This window comes from Homo sapiens, chromosome 3 (assembly GCF_000001405.40).
Source record: "Homo sapiens chromosome 3, GRCh38.p14 Primary Assembly".
Taxonomy (NCBI): domain Eukaryota; kingdom Metazoa; phylum Chordata; class Mammalia; order Primates; family Hominidae; genus Homo; species Homo sapiens.
This window is the reverse complement of record NC_000003.12, coordinates 142,550,987-142,567,682: the sequence shown is the minus strand read 5'-3', so window position 1 is coordinate 142,567,682 and position 16,696 is coordinate 142,550,987. Positions and strand designations below refer to the sequence as shown.

General features: G+C 37.1%; 1 protein-coding gene across 9 annotated transcripts in view; it reads left to right on the top strand.

Moving 5' to 3' along the window:
* ATR (ATR checkpoint kinase) overlaps nt 1-16,696 on the top strand; it is a 129,499-nt gene that overhangs the window by 11,051 nt on the left and 101,752 nt on the right. For 7 of the 9 annotated variants that reach the window (NM_001184.4, XM_011512924.2, XM_047448361.1 and 4 more), the window contains exons 3-13: nt 1,422-1,562; nt 4,574-5,451; nt 6,262-6,440; nt 7,229-7,420; nt 8,242-8,432; nt 8,907-9,059; nt 11,108-11,300; nt 11,544-11,806; nt 13,668-13,858; nt 13,943-14,043; nt 14,285-14,456. In NM_001184.4, the coding sequence (NP_001175.2) occupies nt 1,422-1,562; nt 4,574-5,451; nt 6,262-6,440; nt 7,229-7,420; nt 8,242-8,432; nt 8,907-9,059; nt 11,108-11,300; nt 11,544-11,806; nt 13,668-13,858; nt 13,943-14,043; nt 14,285-14,456 (2,654 nt within the window). The remainder of the gene's footprint in view (nt 1-1,421; nt 1,563-4,573; nt 5,452-6,261; nt 6,441-7,228; nt 7,421-8,241; nt 8,433-8,906; nt 9,060-11,107; nt 11,301-11,543; nt 11,807-13,667; nt 13,859-13,942; nt 14,044-14,284; nt 14,457-16,696) is intronic. The other 2 variants (NM_001354579.2, XM_011512925.2) reach the window with 1 other exon arrangement.

Here is a 16,696-nt window from a genome sequence, read left to right as displayed (position 1 = left end):
AAGTAGGTTCATGCCTGTGCCTATAGGAGATTATAGGATTATGTGAGTTACTGAATCAATTATTGCCTGTTTGTGCCAATCTGCTAGACAGAATATTACCAACCTGGCAAGATGGTGTCACATTTGTCATATCTGTTGAAATTACATGGGAGGGATAATATAAAATGGCATTAGGCTCAGGGTTTATAATTTGGATTCCAAATTTGGCGCAGATTTTATGACTTAGACTAGCCATTAATCCTTTCTTTTTCAATCAGTAAAATGATGGGTTGCTGAAAAATAACAAAGGACTACTGAATACTTACAAGATGTGTTTTTGTATCGTATTCATATTCCCTCCGTTTAGACTACTTGCCCTTCCCCTCTCTGACCAACTCCTCATCTAGGAATCATTTCCTTCACAGTGTCCTCCCAGATACCTGTTTCTCCTTATTCTGGATTAGTGCTGTTACCATATTGTATTATAATTATTAGTTGGTTTGTTTGGCGCCCCACTGGATTGTGAGAACTTTTTTTTAATCCTTAGATTTTAGCATTGCCTGGCATATTATTCCTGAAGTACATGTTTGATAAATAGATGTATGGTAGAGGAATGCATGTGATTTTTAAACATTTAAAATTAGATAAGACTGTAGTGTTGGCTGGGCACGGTGGCTCACGCCTGTAATCCCAACACTTTGGGAGGCCGAGGTGGGTGGATCACCTGAGGTCAGGAGTTTGAGACCAGCCTGGCCAACATGACGAAACCCTGTCTCTACTAAAAATACCAAAATTAGCTGGGTGTGGTGGCACACACCTGTAGTCCTAGCTACTCAGGAGGCTGAGGCAGAAGAATCACTTGTACCCCGGAGGCACAGGTTGCAGTGAGCCAAGATCACACCACTACACTCCAGCCTGGGCAACAGAGTGAGACTGTGTCTCAAAAAAAAAAAAGACTGTAGTGTTTAGCCCCATCAATTTAGCTTGAATGTTGTTGAGTGCTGTGCTGGATATAATTCTGGTCACCAAAGTCTGGTTCCCCACCCCCACCCCACTTTTTGTTTTTTTTTTTTTAATTTTAAGAGACAGAGTCTTGCTTTGTTCCAGGCTGGAGTGCAATAGTGTGATCGTAGCTCACTACTGCCTTGAACTTCTGGGCTCAAGGGAATCCTCCAGCCTCAGCCCCCTGAGTAGCTGGGACTATAGGCACACTACCACTCCCAGCTAATTTTAAGAAAAATTTTTTTTGTAGAGACGGGATCTTGACATCTTATCCAGGCTGGTCTTGAGTTCCTGGGCTCAGGTGATCCGCCCACTTCAGCCTCCCAAAGTACAGGGGTTACAGGAGTGAGGCACCTTGCCTGGCCCACAGTCTGGTTTCTTAACAAAAGGACCATTGTTTAATTTGTCATGACTCTTTAAAATGAATCTTATTGTTTTAGTTGCTGTAGAACTTGTAAAGAAAACTGACTCTCAGCCAACCTCCGTGATGTTGCTTGATTTCATCCAGCATATCATGAAATCCTCCCCACTTATGTTTGTAAATGTGAGTGGAAGCCATGAGGCCAAAGGCAGTTGTATTGGTAAGTGCTGTTATTCATGCATTCACTTGCCATCTGTTCTATAAAATCCTCCTTTTACTGCTCTTCTGAAATATTACATGTACAGGATTATACTTTTTTGGGTCAGCTTTGCTATAAATTGAAGGAGCAAAATGGTAATGGTTATTTTTCCTTCACATATCCTTATTGTTTTCTTTTTAGTATTGTATACTAGGTACTTAGAAATAATCAAATTTGTTTATTTGCCATTGAACACTTTGGCATGGTTTTCTTTTTTCTGTTTTTGGTAATCTCTTTCTTCTAGATCAGAGCTTGGCAAGCTGTAGTCCACAGGGTGGCTGCCTGTTTTTGTGAACAAAGTTTTGGTGTTTTGTTTTGTTTCCTTTTTTTTTTTTTTTTTTTTTTTTTAAATAAGACAGGGTCTCGCTATGTTGCCCAGGCTGGTCTTGAACTGGTAGACTCAAGGGATCCTCCTGCCTCAGCCTCCTGCATACCTGGGACCATAGGCACATGCTACTGTGCCTGGCTTCAGTTTTTGTAAACAAAGTTTTATTAGAACACAGCCATGCTCATTCTTTTACTTATTGTCTGTGACTACTACAAAGGCAACTTGGGCACTCAAGCCAAAAATATTACTATCTGGTCCTTTAAAAAAAGTTTGCTGACCGCTATTCTATATATTGAAGCTTTTCTCTAGGCTTATTCTTTATTGCACCTACTACTTTTGTCCCTTCATTGGTGTCTTCATAAAGAGATGCAAAATAAACATTTTTTTTGTATAATGGATAAAGTATTTTAAAATTTTTTGTTCAAACTTTAACTCAACTTTGATAGCATGTCCTCCAAGAAGTTTTTTTCTGAGCACTACTTCTAACTGCTTAGAACTGGCTTGGTTATTCCTTTATTCTCTCTTAGTACTAAGTGTTCTGCATTTCATCTATCATAGAGGCTATTAAACTGTGCTCTAATCATTGGTTTGTCTATATTCTTTCCTACAGTAGTTTTTAAACTACAGGTCATAACCCACTAGTGGGTTATGAAATTAGGCAATTATCAGCATTTAAAACAAGATGAAATAAACTAGAAAATATCATAGGCTGGGCACGATGTCTCACGCCTGTAATCCCAGCACTTTGGGAGTTCGAGACCAGCCTAGGCAACATGGCAAAATCCTGTCTCTACCAAAACCAAACCAAACCAAACCAAAACAAAACAGAAAAACATTAGCTGAACATGGTGGCACATGCCTGTGGTACAAGCTACTTGGAAGGCTGAGGCACACTAATTGCTTTAGCCTGGGAGGCAGAGATTGCAGTGAGCTAAGACCATGCCGTTGCACTCCAGCCTGGGTAACAGAGTGAGAACCTGTCTCAAGAAAAAAAAAAAGAAAATATTATAGTACATTGTATGTAATAAGAGTAAGTACTATTTAATGAACCTTTTGTTTTAAATATTTAAATAAAATGCATGTATATGTACTGGGTCATGATATAAAATGTTATTTCTTTGTTGCAGTCAAAAAGCTCAAGAAACTGTACTGTGAGATTCATGAGGACAGGACTATGACTGATTTATTCTTGTGTACCTGAGACAGAGTCACCACTCAAATTTTAGTTGAAAGAATGACAATAGCTACCCTTTATTGAACATTTATTTTACTTTGGAACTGTGCTGAGTATTTCATGTGCATTTTCTTATTTGGTCCTCACAGTAACCCATAACATAGATAGCATTATTCTCCTTATACATGAAATTACAGAGGTTCAGAGAAATGAAAAGTTTATACAACTAGTAAGTGGAAAGCTAGGACCTTGCCTGTCTGACTCCAAAGTTGTTACAGGCATACCTCAGAAATATTGTGGGTTCAGTTCCAGACCACTACAATAAAGTGAATATTGCAATAAAGTAAGTCACATGAATTTTTTGGTTTCCCAGTGCATATAAAAGTTATGTTTACGTTGTACCTTAAGTGTGGAATAGCATTATGTCTAAAAAACAATGTATGTACCCTAATTAAAAATACTTTATTACTAAAAAATGCTAACGATTATATCATCCTTCAACAAGTTGTAATATTTGTGCTGGTGGAGTGTCTTGCCTTGATGTTGAGGGCCTTTCTCTGGATTAGGCTTTGGCTTAAGGGAATGTTGTGGCTGGTTTGATCTTCTTTTTTTCCTACTGGAAATTTCCTCATCTTTTAACGATTTGATCTTCTATTCAGAGTACAAAAACTTTCTCCATACCAGCAATAAGGCTGTTTCACTTTCTCATCAATGGTGCGTTCAGTGGAGTAGTACTTTTAATTTCCTCCAAAAACTTTTTCTTTGTTTTAACAAGTTGGTTGTTTGGTGAAAGAGGCCTAGCTTTCAACTTGTCTTGGCTTTCAACATGCCTTCCTCAGTAGGCTTAATCATTTCTAGCTTTTGATTTGAAGTGAGAGATGTGTGACTCTTCCTTTCATTTGAACACATAGAGGCCATTGTAAGGGTTATTAATTAACCTAATTTCAATACTGTGTCTCAGGGAATAGGGAGACACAAGGAGAGGGAGAGAGATGGGGAACTGCTGGTCGGTGGGTCAGAACACATACATTTATCCATTAAGTTTGCCACCTTATATCGGTGTGGTTCATGACAGCTCCAAACAATTACAATAGTAACATCAAACGTCACTGATCACAGATCACCATAACAGATACGATAATAATGAAAATGTTTGAAATATTTTGAGAATTACCAAAATGTGATACAGAGACATGAAGTGACCACATGCTATTGGAAAAATGGCACTGATACACTTGCTTGATGCAGAGTTACCACAACCTTCAATTTGTGACAAATGCAGTATCTGCAACGTGCAATAAAACTGGGTATGCCTGTGTTCTAAACTATTATGTTTCCATTGTGAAGAGAATGTTTTACACTCTTGTTAGTGAAGTTTATTCTTTAAAAGTCAATCGTCAAGGATTTAGCAAATGAATTAGCACTTCGGATATACTTGTTTATTTAATATCTTTTTTGTTTATTTCAAAGAATTCAGTAATTGGATCATAACGAGACTTCTGCGGATTGCAGCAACTCCCTCCTGTCATTTGTTACACAAGAAAATCTGTGAAGTCATCTGTTCATTATTATTTCTTTTTAAAAGCAAGAGTCCTGCTATTTTTGGGGTACTCACAAAAGAATTATTACAACTTTTTGAAGACTTGGTTTACCTCCATAGAAGAAATGTGATGGGTCATGCTGTGGAATGGCCAGTGGTCATGAGCCGATTTTTAAGTCAATTAGATGAACACATGGGATATTTACAATCAGCTCCTTTGCAGTTGATGAGTATGCAAAATTTAGAATTTATTGAAGTCACTTTATTAATGGTTCTTACTCGTATTATTGCAATTGTGTTTTTTAGAAGGCAAGAACTCTTACTTTGGCAGATAGGTTGTGTTCTGCTAGAGTATGGTAGTCCAAAAATTAAATCCCTAGCAATTAGCTTTTTAACAGAACTTTTTCAGCTTGGAGGACTACCAGCACAACCAGCTAGCACTTTTTTCAGCTCATTTTTGGAATTATTAAAACACCTTGTAGAAATGGATACTGACCAATTGAAACTCTATGAAGAGCCATTATCAAAGCTGATAAAGACACTATTTCCCTTTGAAGCAGAAGCTTATAGAAATATTGAACCTGTCTATTTAAATATGCTGCTGGAAAAACTCTGTGTCATGTTTGAAGACGGTGTGCTCATGCGGCTTAAGTCTGATTTGCTAAAAGCAGCTTTGTGCCATTTACTGCAGTATTTCCTTAAATTTGTGCCAGCTGGGTATGAATCTGCTTTACAAGTCAGGAAGGTCTATGTGAGAAATATTTGTAAAGCTCTTTTGGATGTGCTTGGAATTGAGGTAGATGCAGAGGTAAGTAATTTTTCAGGTTACTAGTTAAGTATGTATTTTGTTCATCATTTAATTGTATACATATGTGCAAAATGTAATAATAAGAAAATAGAATATCTTTAATAGTAATTTATATTTGGAACATAATGATTTTCATAGTGTAGTCTGGCTCACTATTATGGACTTTTACTTTGATTTCAGAAGGATTTGTTCATTAAGTTGGTAATGAACTGCCAATGGAGTAGAATGTTTCTAAGTAGAATCTGTGAAGTGTAAATGTATTTGTTGCATTATTAATTAAAAGGGGGCAGTTACCAACTTAATTGCAGAAGCTTTGGTCAATCAGATTATGTGTCTGACAAGTTATAATCAATCACTTTTAGAAAACCTATGAATGATTAATCATGCCAAATTATGCGCTTTTTTCTATTTGGACTGTGGGAGTCAGGTAATACAATAAAATCATCAGAGATGCAGTAACTTGATTAAATATTTTAGTTTATTAATCTTGCTGGATTAAAGTTACATGAAGAAAGTTGGTAATTCCCTTACAGAATTTTTTATAAGGGAATTAAAATTTATAGCATTTTGGTAAGAGGAAAAACAGGATGTAGAGAGAAGGATTTGTTTAAACCTTCTAAGACTATAGAACCATAGTCTATATATAGACTTAAATAATATAGATCAATTTAGATGTTTATTTTGCTTTATGAGACTCTAAAAGTAGTTTCACTAGAAAACACCTAACATCTAATACATTCTTGCTGCCTATGAATAATATAAATATATTTTCTAAGGAATATTTCTGGAAATTATTTTTTATTTTCTCAGTACTTGTTGGGCCCACTTTATGCAGCTTTGAAAATGGAAAGTATGGAAATCATTGAGGAGATTCAATGCCAAACTCAACAGGAAAACCTCAGCAGTAATAGTGATGGAATATCACCCAAAAGGCGTCGTCTCAGCTCGTCTCTAAACCCTTCTAAAAGAGCACCAAAACAGACTGAGGAGTATGATGACCTTCATTCAGTTTGTATTTAGCCATTAAATAAAACTTTGTTCACTTTTAAAAATCAGCTTTAGTTAAGTGCTTTGATTTAAATACACAAAGAACATCTTTCTAAATGTAGCCAAGGGAGTGCTTAAAATATTTTTATAATTATTGTAGACGGTTAGTAGTATAAAACATTTCATGGTTAAATATAGTTACTTTGCATGTTTTTATATGCTTATCTAATTTAACTTTTTAATATGTGAAAAATCTTTGAGACTGTGCATCTATTAGCAATTTTTAAAACATTAACCAACTATTTTTTATAAAGTGGCTAAGTTGCCATATTTCAGTTACTTCTGAACATTGTTTTAATTGTTTTAAATCTTAGTATAAATTTCAGGCTGGGCGCGGTGGCTCACGCCTGTAATCCCAGCACTTTGGGAGGCCGAGGCGGGCAGATCACGAGGTCAGAAGATCGAGATCATCCTGGCTAACACGGTGAAACCCTGTCTCTACTAAAAATACAAAAAATTAGCCAAGCGTGGTGGTTGGCGCCTGTAGTCCCAGCTACTCGGGAGGCTGAGGCAGGAGAATGGCGTGAACCCGGGAGGCGGAGCTTGCAGTGAGCCGAGATGGCGCCACTGCACTCCAGCCTGGGAGACAGAGTGAGACTCTGTCTCACAAAAAAAAAAAATTTTTTTGAATAGTTGATATTACATAGTATGTTTTATTCTAAATATGTTTCATGTTTTAACCAAATTTATATTGCATATGAATATCTCTCTACTATATTCATAATTATAGAATTAAACATGTGGACATGAACCAAAAGAGCATATTATGGAGTGCACTGAAACAGAAAGCTGAATCCCTTCAGATTTCCCTTGAATACAGTGGCCTAAAGAATCCTGTTATTGAGATGTTAGAAGGAATTGCTGTTGTCTTACAACTGACTGCTCTGTGTACTGTTCATTGTTCTCATCAAAACATGAACTGGTAAAACAAACTTCTTGTTTCTTGGGGTTGGGTTTCCTGTAATGAACTTGGATTTACTGTTTACTCATTATTCACTTGACTCATGTAACCTTAGAACACAAACTTTTCACTGAAGTAGTTAATAAATTTATTTTCTATTGAGTCAAATGCTAGGTACGGTGCTAAGCACTGTATATATCTTAGTTAATATTTACAATAGTCCTGTAAGGTAAAGGCTATTATGCCTATTTTAAAAATTAGAAACTGACACTCAGAGAAACTGAGGCTCTTTTTTGTCTGAAGCCAAAACTGACTTTCCTGGGGACACATGATTAGAAAGTACCAGAACACATTTGTGTACAACTCAAAACCCAGTGTTTGGCTGTTGAAGACAGGGTCTCGCTTTGTCTCCCAGGCTGGTGCACAGTGGCATGATCATGGCTCACTACAGCCTTGATCTCTATCCGGGGCTCAAGTGAGCCTCCCATGTAGCTGGAACTATAGGCATGTGCCGCCACACCCTAATTTAGAAAAAATTTTTTTTGTAGAGATGGGTTTCCCTATATTGGCCCGGCTGGTCTCAAACTCCTGGGCTCAAGTGATCCTCCCACCTCAGGCTCCCAAAGTCATTTGGTTCCCAAATCCTAAGGGTGATTTAAGCTGACATAAATAGATTCAACTTAAAATAGTAATAACATATTACTTGATTTGCATGTTTACTTTAAATTGTTATAGATAAATTTCGTACTCACAATTTCTTTTGGCTTTACTACAATTTTATGTTTGACTATAACAAAATTCATCTTAATTCCAATGTTTTTAACAAAATGTACTTACTGCAGCCGTACTTTCAAGGACTGTCAACATAAATCCAAGAAGAAACCTTCTGTAGTGATAACTTGGATGTCATTGGATTTTTACACAAAAGTGCTTAAGAGCTGTAGAAGTTTGTTAGAATCTGTTCAGAAACTGGACCTGGAGGCAACCATTGATAAGGTGGTGAAAATTTATGATGCTTTGATTTATATGCAAGGTGAGTACAAATTAGCAACAGATCAGAATAACCTTTAAAGATAATCAGTATAGAAATATGCTTTCTTTTTTGCCTGAAGCCTAAGTGCGTGTTTGGAATACTCAGAAGTTTTTTCCTGATTTCAGTTCTATTAAATTTGTCAATAATAGAAGTTCTGAGTTGCCAATTTATGTGCATAATATTTTGATTCTTTAGTCAATAGAAATTATTTATAACTTCAAAGTTTTTTAATTTGGGAGTTTGAGGAATGCCGTGATTCTTCTTTAAAACAGGCATAGATAACATGTTTTTATAAAGTCACATTTAATTTCTTTGGGTTCACAGACCTCAGACCATCGTTTATAGATCTCTGTGTTAAGAATTTCTGCTTATCCAATGATCATTATGATAGTATTTCAAATGTCTTTATTTTTATTTAAAAGAGATATGATTAAGGAAAAGTTATAATTAATGACTTATTTTGTGCTTCTGTAGTAAACAGTTCATTTGAAGATCATATCCTGGAAGATTTATGTGGTATGCTCTCACTTCCATGGATTTATTCCCATTCTGATGATGGCTGTTTAAAGTTGACCACATTTGCCGCTAATCTTCTAACATTAAGCTGTAGGATTTCAGATAGCTATTGTAAGTGCTCACAAGAATGTGTGTGTGGTTTGTTTTATTTATCTATCTATCTATCTATCTATCTATTTATTTATTTATTTATTTATTTATTTATTTATTTTTGAGACGGAGTCTTACTCTGTCGCCCATGCTGGAGTGCAGTGGCGCAATCTCGGCTTGCTGCAACCTCCGTCTTCAGGTTCAAGCAATTTTCCTGCCTCAGCCTCCTGAGTAGCTAGGATTACAGGTGCGCACCACCATACCCAGCTAATTCTTATATTTTTAGTAGAGGCGGGGTTTCACCATGTTAGCCAGGCTGGTCTCGAACTCCTGACCTCAAGTGATCCACCTGCCCCAGCCTTCTAAAGTGCTAGGATTACAGGCGTGAGCCACCATGCCTGGCCTTGTGTGGTTTGTTTTAACTCATCTCTATATAGGACTTCTAAGACTTATTTATATTTTTTTCAATAATTAAAAGAGCAGGTACATTTTTAATAGTTCAGAAGGGGGTTAGATACATAAAAAGTAACACATAAAAGCCTGCCCCACATATCCCATTTCCTTTCTTTTTGTAAAACATTTGCAATGTGTCCTTACATATCATTATCTTCATTTAATAAAATTAGGAAGTATTTGAGAAATATTTTAAAAAGAAGAACAATATACCAAAAATTCTTATACCAACTTCTCAGTTTAAGAAATAGAAACATTAGGCCAGGCACGGTGGCTCACGCCTGTAATCCCAGCACTTTGGGAGGCCAAGGCATGCGGATCTCTTGAGGTCAGGAGCTTGAGACCAGCCTGGCCAACATGGCAAAACCTCATCTCTTCTAAAAATACAAAAATTAGCCAGGCATGGTGGCTCACGCCTGTAGTCCCAGCTACTAGGGAGGCTGAGATACAAGAATCTCTTGAACCCAGGAGGCAGAGGTTTCAGTGAGCCAAGATTGCACCCCTGCACTCCAGCCTGGGCTATTAGAGATATGATGGAAGCCTTTGTCCCTCTATGATTTCATTCCCCTCATTTTTTTCCCCAGAGATTACTACTGTTCTGAATTTGGTGTTGATTGTTCTGTTGAATGTTCTATTACTTTTACTATATATGTATTTATTTATAAATAATATAAGAAATTGTTTTGCTTCTTACAGCTTACATTTTGTTGATCAACACTATCTTTATGAGACTTATCCATGGTGATATGGGTAACTCTAGTTTTTATTTAAACTTCCAAATAGTAGCCAAATTTGGATGGACACTATCAGACCTCCTATTGGTGGACAATCAAGTTGTTTCCAACTTTTCACAATTACAAGCAACATTTAAATGAATATTTTTATAAATGATTCTTTAGTCATTCTAAGTCCTTGCTGTTTGAAAAGTATGCTCCACAGACCAGTAGCATCGCCACCATTTAGGGACTTGTTAGAAATGGAGCGTCTTTGATTCTGCTGAAAGAGCACATTAAAAAAAAAGAGAGAGAAAGAAAGAAATGGGGAATCTTATGCTCCACCCAGACCTACTGATCAGAATCTGCATTTTAACAAGATAGGTGATTCATATCCATATTAAAGTTTGAGAAGCATTATTTTAACGTTTTTACCTACCTAGGAGTAGTATTGTTGGGTTATAGAGTTTGCACATCTTCACCTCTATTCTGCTGTATTGTTCTCCAAAGATACACCAGTTTACACTCCTGTTAGCAGAGTATGAGTTCCACATCCTCACTGACACTTAGCTGACTTTAAAATTTTTGCTATCTAGAAAATAAAAAATGTCATGGAGTTAAGTATCTTAAATTTTTTCTTTTTCCTATCTGGTAGGTATGATTTTCAATTTGCATTTCCTTGATTATTTAGTAAGGTTGTGTATAGACCTTTTTCAGTGCACTTGCTTTATTTTCTGAAAAGGAGCTTTTAATTAAATTAGGTATTAAATGTATTTTAAGTGTTACTTGACTTTTATTTATATATATGTATACACAAATGTTACTTTACTTATATATATGTATATGTGTATACATAAAATTAACATTAGTAGAAATCTTGTTTAATAGACTTAATTTTTTCAGCACCACAGGCACAATCACGATGTGTGTTTCTTCTGACTCTGTTTCCAAGAAGAATATTCCTTGAGTGGAGAACAGCAGTTTACAACTGGGCCCTGCAGAGCTCCCATGAAGTAATCCGGGCTAGTTGTGTTAGTGGATTTTTTATCTTATTGCAGCAGCAGAATTCTTGTAACAGAGTTCCCAAGATTCTTATGTATGTACTAAGATTTTAATTTGAATATATCACTCTATTGGAAAGATCATAATTGTCTGGCTATGTATGCAGGGTTGTGTTTATTGTTGAATATGTAAAGCAAATGTTGCTTTTAGTTTTAGAATTTAACATTTTTTCCTTCTAGGCTTTGTTTTACCAGTACTTTTGTCCCAAATTAAGCAAGACTATTTAGACCACAAAATTAGGCAAGAAAGTTTAGTACTTTTTCTTTTTTTTCCCCAGAGATAAAGTCAAAGATGATTCTGACATTGTCAAGAAAGAATTTGCTTCTATACTTGGTCAACTTGTCTGTACTCTTCACGGCATGTTTTATCTGACAAGTTCTTTAACAGAACCTTTCTCTGAACACGGACATGTGGACCTCTTCTGTAGGAACTTGAAAGCCACTTCTCAACATGAATGTTCATCTTCTCAACTAAAAGCTTCTGTCTGCAAGCCATTCCTTTTCCTACTGAAAAAAAAAATACCTAGTCCAGTAAAACTTGGTGAGTGATTATGACTTATTTAATACTTTAAAACCTATTTAAGCTCTGCTTTTCAAATCAGTAAAAGAATTAGACTGAAGCCTTGAAAAATTACAGGAAGTTACATGCTTTATAGATTCAGTGCTCAGTATTGATTAGTTATAAATGGGATAACTGGTATTAGATCGCATCACAAAACTGGTAGGAGAGGTGATTTTGGGATTTTTCGAATACTCTTGTGATTTGACAGCCTAAATGGGGCATACCTGATGGTTGTTTCAATATTGTAAGATTCAATATTAGATTATCTTCTTTAGTGATACCAGAGATCGTCTTAATGTGCCCCCTGTTACAACCTTGGACCTTGAGAACTTCAAATAGTTAAATTACTTTGCCCAACTGAGGACTATAGAGTGTATCTTCTTGGCCACTTTCCAGTGGTAATGGAGTATAAATTTTTATGAAGTATGAGATTTATACAAATACTTAGAAGATCCATTTGTTTAGGTAGTAAGTTGAAACTTGTTCTGAAGTTTCAATAGAAACTTTCTATTGAAAGCAATAGAAAGTACTCCCTAAATCTTGTAATGTAAGGTTAACAATAAAGCTAAGATCCCCTTGAGAAATGTGCTTTTCTTTTTTTCTTTTTTTTTTTTTCCCCGAGACGGAGTTTTGCTCTTGTTGCCCAGGCTGAAGTACAATGGCGCCATCTTGGCTCACTGCAACCTCTGCCTCCTGGGTTCAGACGATTCTCCTGCCCCAGCCTCCGGAGTAGCTGGGATTACAGGCGTGTGCCACCAGGCCTGGCAAATTTTTGCATTTTTAGTAGAGACAGGGTTTCACCATGTTGGTCAGGCTAGTCTCCAACTCCTGACCTCAGGTAATCTACCCACTCTGTCCCCCCAAAGTGCTGGGGTTACAGGCATGAGCCACCATGCCCGGCCTTTCTTCTTTCTTTTTTTTTTTTTAAGAGACAGGGTCTTGCTCTGTCACCCAGGCTAGAGTGCAGTGGCGCAATCATGGCTCACTGCAGTCTGCATCCTTGATCTCCCAGGCTCAAGTGATCCTCCCACCTCAGCCTCTTGAGTAGCTGGAACCATAGTATGTGCCACTACACCCAGCTAATTTTTAAATTTTTTGTAGAGAGGGATCTCACTTTGTTGCCCAGGCTGGTCTTTGAACTCCTAGCTTCAAGTGATCCTCCCACCTTGGCCTCCCAGAGTGTTGGGATTACAGGTATGAGTCACCACTCCTGGCCTGCAATGTGTTTTTAAGTTTATCTTGGTAACATATAATGGTCTACAAAATCTGAAAGAGACTTGTTATTTTATAACAATTCTGGAAATTATTTTAGATTTAAATTATTTATAGGCTGAGTGCAGTGGTTCGCTCCTTTAACACCAGCACTTCGGGAGGCCGAGACAGGCGGATTGCCTGAGCTCAGGTGTTCGAGACCAGTCTGGGCAACATGGTGAAGCCCCATCTCTACAAAAAATACAAAAATTAGCCAGGCATGGTGGTGCATGCCTGTGGTCCCAGCTACTTGGGAGGCTGAGGTGGGAGGATCACTTGAACCTGGGAGGTCAGGGCTGCATGCTGCAGTGAGCCGTGATCATGCCACTGCACTCCAGCCTGGGTGACAGAGCAAGACCCTATATCAAAAAAAAAAAGTGACATTTATTAAATATAAAGTAATTTTAATTTATAAGTATCCATTTTAATTTCCTAAAATTCTGTGTGCTATACATACTTAAATATGAAACATTGACATTATAAGAGAACTTAGGATTCTTCATGGCATATTATTTGTTGACAATATTTTTACAGTACAACCTTGACATTTAATATGTTAAATTAGGTATTGTATACTCTTGTCCTTCAGCTTTCATAGATAATCTACATCATCTTTGTAAGCATCTTGATTTTAGAGAAGATGAAACAGATGTAAAAGCAGTTCTTGGAACTTTATTAAATTTAATGGAAGATCCAGACAAAGATGTTAGAGTGGCTTTTAGTGGAAATATCAAGCACATATTGGAATCCTTGGACTCTGAAGATGGATTTATAAAGGAGGTTGATAATTTTTGTTTTTAACATTTGAGTTTACGTCAACCTAGCTCTAAAAATTTCTTTAACCAGTTAATTTTATTGTTCTAGCTTTTTGTCTTAAGAATGAAGGAAGCATATACACATGCCCAAATATCAAGAAATAATGAGCTGAAGGATACCTTGATTCTTACAACAGGGGATATTGGAAGGTATACTTGGCAGCATTTGTGTTCTTCCTTATTTATTTTGGCCATTCTCCATTTTTATTTGCTTGCTGTTAAAAATGGTGATATGATATTTGTGATATTATAGACAAAATGTGAGTCAACATGAATTTATTTGTAGATTTCCGTTTGTTTCTGGGATATTGGAGATACATATGTGTGTGTATGTGTGTGTGTGTGTGTGTGTGTGTTTGTGTATTCATATGTATGTTGTTTTTAATTTTAGGGCCGCAAAAGGAGATTTGGTACCATTTGCACTCTTACACTTATTGCATTGTTTGTTATCCAAGTCAGCATCTGTCTCTGGAGCAGCATACACAGAAATTAGAGCTCTGGTTGCAGCTAAAAGTGTTAAACTGCAAAGTTTTTTCAGCCAGTATAAGAAACCCATCTGTCAGGTAAGAGTCAGCGTTTGTCTGGACTATAGGCAACAGCAGTACTTTTTAAGAGTTACAAAAAAGAAGAATATTTATACATGTTTTATTTTGCTTGCTTTTCTTTTTTCTTCAATTTATATTTTAAGTTCAGGGGTATATTGCAGCATGTAGAGGTTTGCTACATAGGTAAACGTGTCGTGGTGGTTTGCTGCACAGGTCATCTCATCACCTAGGTATAAGCCCAGCATGCATTAACTATTATTTCTGATACTCTCCCTTCCCCCACCCCCCTTACAGGCCCCAGTGTGTGTTGTTCCCCCCATGTGTCCATGTGTTCTCATCATTCAGCTCCTACTTATAAGTGAGAACTTGTGGTGTTTGGTTTTCTGTTCCTGTGTTAGTTTGCTGAGGATAATGGCTTCCAATTCCATTCATGTCCCTGCAAAGGACATGATCTTGTTCCTTTTTATGGCTGTATAGTATTCCATGGTGTATATGTACCATATTTTCTTCATCCAGTCTGTCATTGATGGGCATTTAGGTTAACTCCATGACTTTGCTTTTTTTTTTTTTTTTTTGAGATGGAGTATTGCTCTGTTGTCCAGGCTGGAGTGCAATGGTGCAATCTCAGTTCACTGCAACCTTCACCTCCCAGGTTCACGTGATTCTCCTGCCTCAGCCTCCCAAGTAACTGGTATTATAGGTGCCTGCCACCATGCCTGGCTAATTTTTGTATTTTTAGTAGAGATGAGGTTTCACCATGTTGGCCAAGTTGGTCTTGAACTCCTGATCTCAAGCAATCCACCCGTCTCAGCCTCCCAAAGTGCTAGGATTACAGGCATGAGCCACTGCACCTGGCCAACTTTGCTATTGTAAATGGTGCTGCAGTGAACCTACATGTGCATGTATCTTTACTATAGAATGATTTATATTCCTTTTTATATTCCTTTGGGTATATACCCAGTAGTGGGATTGCTGGGTCAAATGGTATTTCTGCCTCTAGGTCTTTGAGGAGTTGCCACACTGTCTTCCACAATGGTTTAACTAATTTAGACTCCCACCAACGGTATAAAAGCATTCCCTTTTCTCGGAAACCTTGCCAGTATCTGTTTTTTGACTTTTTAATAATAGCCATTCTGCTGGCGTGAGATGGTATCTCATTGTAGTTTTGATCAGTGATGTTGAGCTTTTTTTCATGTTCGTTGGCTGGCTGCATGTATGTCTTCTTTGGAGAAGAGTCTGTTTATGTCCTTTGCCCACTTTTGTTTTTTTCTTGTAAATTTGTTTAAGTTCTTTGTAGACTCTGGATATTAGACCTCTGTCAGATGAATAGATTGCAAACATTTTCTCCTATTCTGTAGGTTGTCTGTCCACTGTGATGATAGTTTATTTTGCTGTGCAGAAGCTCTTGAGTTTAAATAGATCCTATTTGTCAATTTTTGCTTTGTTGAAATTGCTTTTGGTGTTTTTGTGATGAAATCTTTGCCTGTGCCTATAGCCTGAGGTATTGCCTAGATTTTCTTCTAGAGTTTTTATAGTTTTGAGTTTTACATTTAAGTCTTTAATCCATCTTGAGTTAATTTTTGTATATGGTGTGAGGAAGGGGTCCAGTTTTAATTTTCTGCATATGGCTAGTCAGTTCTCCCAGCACCATTTATTAAATAGAGAGTCCTTTCCCTGTTGCTTGTTTTTGTCAGGTTTGTTAAAGATCGGATGGTTGTAGGTGTGTCATCTTATTTCTGAGTTCTCTAATCTGTTCCATTTGCTTGCTTTTTAAAAGTTTTATTTTCTTTTTTATTTTAAACATTTCTTAGAGACCAAATTTCACTCTGTTGTCCAGGCAGCATACAGTGACATGGAATGGTGTGATCATAACTCACTGAAACCTCTAACTCCTGGGCTTAGAGATCCTCCCACTTTAGCCTCTTGAGTAGCTGGGACTACAGGTGTGCACCACCACACCTAGCTAATTTTTATTTATTTATCTGTAGAGATGGGGTTTTAGAGAGAGCAGCCCTATTTTGCCCAGGCTGCTCTCTAACTCCTGGCCCCAAATGATCCTCCCACTTCTGCCTCTGAAAGTGCTGGGATTACTGTCATGAGCCACTGTGCCTGGTTTTAAAAAGAAAGCATTGTGCTTGCTTTAAAAAATTATTGTTAAGGCTGGGCGTGGTGACTCACACCTGTAATCTCAGCACTTTGGGAGGCCAAGGTGGGCGCATCACCTGAGGTCAGGAGTTTGAGACCAGCCTTGCTAGCAT